This window comes from Homo sapiens, chromosome 8, assembly GCF_000001405.40.
Source record: "Homo sapiens chromosome 8, GRCh38.p14 Primary Assembly".
NCBI classification, from domain to species: Eukaryota; Metazoa; Chordata; class Mammalia; order Primates; family Hominidae; genus Homo; species Homo sapiens.
The window spans coordinates 115,683,696-115,690,378 of record NC_000008.11 but is presented as its reverse complement, the minus strand read 5'-3'; positions in this window follow the sequence as shown (position 1 = coordinate 115,690,378).

Below are 6,683 nucleotides of genomic sequence, written 5' to 3'. Positions count from 1 at the left end.
TATAAAATTTTTGGACTCCAAATTCAGGAAATTTATGTCAGTTGAAGATGAAACTTTTGAAATGTATATTCAAATCAATATACTATGGGCAAAAAAGAAAAAGAGTCTAAAATAGAGCACCTCCTTTAAAATGCTAGTACTTCAGTGCATATTTTATAGGGAATGGTGAGTTTTAAGCTTTGGGGGAAAGTTAATTTACTGGTTTGAAAGATGTGAAGGTTTTCCTTTAAAATTAAAAAGAAAACAGTTCTATTGTGTATTACAAATCTTGCTCACTACACCATAAGCATTTAATAAACTTGACTATGGACTGATAACATCAAGGAATATTTTGAACATATGCAAAATATAAGAGACTTAGCTAACATGATTTTACATGTTCATTATATAAGATTCAATATTTGCTGAAGTTAGGGAGAGGTAATTTAATCATGATAGTGGAGTGCTCATAGGAGGATTATATTATAGGCAAAAGGTACTATATGTAGTTGGATAGAAAAAAATAATATACTGCAGCAAACCTCACGTATAATACATTTCATTACAACAAGAATTCAGACCTGTCAAAGGGTAAATCATGGCCCACCCACCTATTCCAGCTTTAAGACCTTCAAACTATATAAAGAAGAAAGAAAAGTTTTGCTGTACTCCTTTGCTGTTTATTTTAGGTATTACTTTCAAATCCTATATCCAACACAATAACAAATTTCATTATTGTTCAAAAATAGGAAGGGTTACTATAGATATAACTCTGTAACTAAACTAATCAAACTATAAATAGAAAAAATAATCCTAAGATGTAAAGACTTAAAAAATGGCATAATAACATAAGAGCAAATTAGTTCAAAGAAAAACAGCATTGTGCAAAAGAATTCCAAATGAAATAAAACATAAGGTAATACATTCATATTTCAGTAAAACATTAATTTTTCTTCCCAAATAACACTTGTTGAATTAGTTATCCAGCAAGAAAAATTACATGGGAGAGAGGCCAAAATACAAAGAAGAAGCTAAGTGGCAGCCTATTTTGTTACATAAAGGTATTTAAAGAAGATTACAAGTACATTTTCCTTTCTCTTCTTAAAGATGGGAGAAAGTCATCTATATTAATGCAGTTTAGATGCATGCCAACAGTTTATTAAATTGTCAACACTAAGAAGCATTTTAAAATGTGAATATGCCTGAAGACTGGAAATGGTTACCAAAATAACGAGATAAATTGAACAAGTATGAAGCAAGATATCTGTGGAAGTAAATGAAAATACACTATTTCGTTGTGAACTTGAAAATTACTTAAGAATTGTCATAGATCACTGGCTCCCTTCCTTGGGTCATGACCCAAATTAAGGATGCAGAGGGTCTACAGAAGGGTCAGGAAGAATCCTCAGGGAAAATGTGTTCCCAACCTCCTGGATCAAAACAGAATGGTGAAGGGGAAGGAGGTATGTTTTCATTCCTCACCCCCGCCCACCAGTAAAAAGAAAATAGGAGGAAAATCAGGTTGCTTAGGAGTCTTTTTCTGGGTCACAGCAGCAGGGCTGAAGAACAGGATTTACAAATCAACATGGCATAAATATCTTTCACTGTAGAGCTGGCTTGCATCTGCACTCCTCACTGCCTACCTGGATTGGGGGAGTCAGTGGCCTATGAAATAGTTTATTGCAATAATTCTTGTTATATATTAATTTCAATAAAGCAAATAGGTGTAACTTTTTAAAAAACTCCTTTAGCCTGATCAGTAAAGACAATAATAACCAGTTTATACCTTCCTTGAGAGAAAATAGAGAAGCAGGGAAGTAGATGACAGAAAATGATGGTCAGCAGTCAGTTTACAAAGAACCATATGGAAGTCCAAAAATGAAACAGAAGTGCGCTCTCTCTCTCTTTCTCTCTCTCTCTCTCTCCAAGATCCAGCTAAGGAAATTTGGGACAATTTTGATTTTTCAAAATGAGAGCCAAAAACAACTAAAATAATGAAGCTCCAAGAATACATTAGACAAAAAAAAAAAGTGTCATTTAAGCTACAGCAAGTGGAGCCTGCAGACAGATTAATGTGCAGCGGAGTCAGGTGATTGGTAAGAATAACAGTGTAACTACAATTTTAAATGTAGCTTGAATATATAGAACTATTTCCAAAAGATGATCATGTAAGAGTGCATACAGGTTTTGTAAATGAGCAGCAAAACATTCATTTGTTTAAAAGACGTTTAATGAGATACTTAGCTTAGACGGTGACTTAGTACTACGCTTTCAGAAAATAATCACATTACCAGTTGGTACTTCTTCAACAGCTAAGATTTTTATTCTATTTACACTAAAGGGAGAGGTAATTTCAACCTGATAATTTTCAGCTCTGAAGTTTTATTTTGCATGCACACTGCCAACTTGCAGACCCTCTCAGGGGTTTGCACACTATAATCAGGGTTGCAGCATTCAACACCCTTTTCCTATAACAATAAAAAACTCTCCATACCTTTTCAACTTGTCACGTTTGCAGTGCATTATAGAATTTAAACAAGCTTTGAAGATGAAAAAGACTGTACACAATGCTTAAGTGTTACTATTATTATGATTATGATGATATGGTCCACAAGATGTACAAGGGCATTTTGGGATGAATGTATTATGAGTCACAAAGTTGCAACTGAAGACAGCTGTTTGATTGCTACTTGAGAGAGTAGAGTTGAACAAGCCTGAATATGGATGATCTCATTTGGTTTTATAAAACTAAACAGAGCACAGGCAGTTAGTTGGATAATATATCTCCAAGGGAAAGAGGAGTTAGGGTAATTCATCTCTCTGTTGTAGTACATATCATGTTCTTCCTTATAAACTCCAGATATGATTTCTGTTTCCCAAGGACAGATTATCTTTGGCATGGCAACCTCACTTTTTGGTCACAACATGTAAGTTTTCATTATTGTTATATTTAAAAACTCTAATTATATTAATCATTTTCTTGTTTCCTTGTATATCCCACTACTATACTATCGTCTTACATTATTGGTATTTGCCTTTACCATTTACCACTCCCATGGGAATAAACAAAAGTTACTTAGAACATTGACTTGTATTCATGAGCTCCCATGCTACTGTAAAGTATGGAGAAAATATATTAGCTAGAAACTTACAACCCATTTAATGATTCAAGACACAAGGAAATGAAAAGTTAAATAATGATATAAGATTAAGTAGCAAGAAATGTCAAGGGTATCATGGTTAATTATCAAATATGTCTCATAGAGAACTGTAGATTTAGGCATGGAGTCTATTACAGTATGTTGGCCTGGACTATAAAGGTTATAACAAATAAATGGAACTTTTCCAAAGTCATATTGATTGAAAGGAGAAGGGTACAGCATTTTAGACTGGAGGAATGCTGTAAGAAGTCACAGGGCTGAAAAGGAAAAGGCATTTTTGTGGACTGGTGTGGTCGGAATAAAGTGCTCATGAGGAGTTTCTGGGAAAAGAGTTTGAAAGTTTGCTGAGAAAAGATGTGGGCAAATGTTGAGTCTGGGTCAATAAGATGAAACTTCATTCTGAGAGCCTAAGAAAGCAAATATCACGTGTCACATCTAATTTACTGTTTGATCAACAGATAGATTGATTTATAGTGGATGTCCTGAAATTTGTGTTAACAAAGATTATGATTGACTCTGGATAGGATTTTCAAGGCAGAGCTGGAAAAAGTATTATGAATATGGTGGCCACGTGTGTGTAGAATTCATGCTGGCTATTCACCATCTTTGAGTTAAGTATTGTGGAGTAACTGAAGATTGTGATACAGAGGAAAAACTGGAGTACAAAATTTTAAATGTACAAAATTTAAAATGTACAAAATTGTAAAATGTACACTTTCATTGAATAGTCTTGTCAGCCTTGCAGAATCTGGATGTGTGGAAGCTGGGTCAGTGAGCCAAATAGATCGTCCATCTGGGTGAATAATACAGCAAAATGGAATGGGAGGGAGTTTGATAAAGATTTGGCTGGCAGACTTGAAGAAAAGAAAATATAGTGTTAAATTATTCCTTGTAATTATGATAGTATTTGACTAGTAATATTTTTAAAAGCAGATACAAATTTTAAATGACTTTGCCTAAGTAAAGAGTGAATGTGTTACACATTCTTGCCCAAAATGTATTACAAAGGGTTGAGGAGGTAAATCCCTAAAAGACAGCAACCACTATGCTTTTGACAGCAAGCAGTATAGTAGTGGAAGCTCTGTGAATATTTCTAAATGAAGGTTTCTACCAGAAAGGAAAGTATTCATTTGATTTTTGTCCAGAAGTGATCTAACATACTATGTGAAATGAAGTCTTTCATTATCAGAGCACATAGCTCTTTAAAATGTAGCCTTTCAAGTCTGTAAGGGTTTTTACTAGGGTGTGACACTTTGGATGGCACTTAAGCTAAGTTAGGCACCAAAATATGTCATTGGGGAAGACTGTATCAATGAGGAATTGGTCAAAAAAAAATCCACCAAGCAGAACAGTGACACGAATCCTCCTTCCTCAGAATTAATCATTGAGTGTGCCCTACATTCAGTATTTGTCTCAAGTAAGAACCTCCAGAGTACAAATGGCCAAATTTACCCATCATATAATGTTATTTTGTCTAGAAATAGTTATCAAAAGCTTAGTCACATGTTTCCATGATATGTTTAAATTTATTTCATTTGTAAGAATTTCTTTTAGGGGGAATTTTCAAGAATGCTACTTGTGTTAATTTATATTCTAGTTTTAATTTGCCAACCATTTAAAGATAATTGTCAAATGTTGGGGGAAGAGGTATGCTACATGATATATGACTTAAAAATCAAATCCTGAAAGAGATAACTTACTTCTCGAAATGCCTAACATATCTAAGAATCGCTTGAATTGATATGACATAATCTAACATAGAAATGGATGAGAAAAATAGTATAGGAGCTATAACTTGGTTTTATTACTATTTTTTTTCACCAACTAGTTTTGTGCCCTTGATAAAGTTACTAAATATCTCTGGATTTCCATTTTCCTAGCTGTGAAATGAAGAGATTAGACTCGATGCTCTTTCACATAACTAAATTTTATGAGACTTTGTCACATGGAATATATGTAGATGACCAAGTAGACTCAAGAGAAACTCTGGAACTTTGGTTTAGAACCCCAGAAACACAAGGAAGTCTAGAGCTACTGGTTGACTGCTTTCCCTGCACTGCTGCATTACCCCACTGACTGTGGCACATAGAGAGGAATAGTAAATGTCAACTTGATTATAGATCCCTAGCAACCCTGGAAGATCTAGGGTAGCTTCCGCAGATGGTAGGAAATGATACAGCCCTGCCCATTGCCTCCAAGTCTCTTCAAAGTTGTCTAGTTCCCATGGGCACTTTCGTGCCATGCTGGTAAAGAGATAATGAGTACTTTTGTTCTGGAGATGATTTTGGCAATAGTTATCAGAATGGAAAATGTGTATACTCTGTATCCCCGTAATCCCCCTTCTCAGAATTTGCCCTAAGAAGATGATACCTAAGTTGCGAAAAGCTCTGCATTCAAGAATATTCATGATACTGTGGTTTACAGTGGAGAAAAATGGAGAGTGATCTAAAATGTAAGGGGTGGATACTCTAAGCAGCCATTAAAAATAATGGTGTAAATGGAATGAAAAGATGCCCACAACATCTTATTAATTATTAAAAGGAAATTAGAGGCTAGATGCCTAATAAGTCATTTATGTAAAATTGTATACATATATCTCAATGGTTATAAATGCATTGGTATGATTCAAGGTGGTTTTTACATTATTTTGGGGAAACTTCTCTATAGGGTTGAAATTTTCAAAATTAATAGGCTTTATTGTTTTAAAAACAATAAAACGAATAAAGAATATTGTGGCTTTTGGTGAGCTAAAAGTGAACGGAGAACACCTGGTCAATAGCTGTGGCAGTTGTGAGCATTCTTTTTGTATCATCTTTAAAATTTGGAATGACTTTTTAAAATAGAAATATCTTTTTAATAGAAATATATATTAAATTAAATATCTATTTTTAAAATAGAAATGTCTTCAGTGTCCAAAATTACAATGTCTGCAAATGTGAGTAAATACTCATTGTCACATTCTTACAACTGGTTCCTGAAGCTAGATAACTATCATGTCTTATATCAATGTTATTAGGATAACATTGCTCTAGTTCTTTAAAAAAATTGTTATTAATATTTTTTAAGGTAGTACATTTTGTCCTTCCTGGAAGTTCATTGTAGTATACATTTTTTTTTTCTCACCTGATGAACATTTAATCCCAATTTTCACTTTCTGGTTTTTTTTTTTTTTTTTTTTGAGACAGAGTCTCACTTTGTCACCTAGGCTGGAGTACAGTGGCATGATCTCGACTAACCGTAACCTCCCCTCCCAGGGTTCTAGTGCTTCTCCTACCTCAGCCTCCCGAGTAGTTGGGATTACAGGTGCCTGCCATCATGCCTGGCTAATTTTTTTGTATTTGTAGTAGAGACAGGGTTTTGCCATGTTGACTAGGCTGGTCTCGAACTCCAGACCTCATGTGATCCACCTGCCTTGGCCTCCCAAAGTGCTAGGATTACAGGCATGAGCCACCACACCTGGCCCACTTTATGAATCTTTATAGAGAATAAAGAAAAAAAATTTCCTTTTATAGAAGCTAATCATGTGAGATATTTACTCTTCCA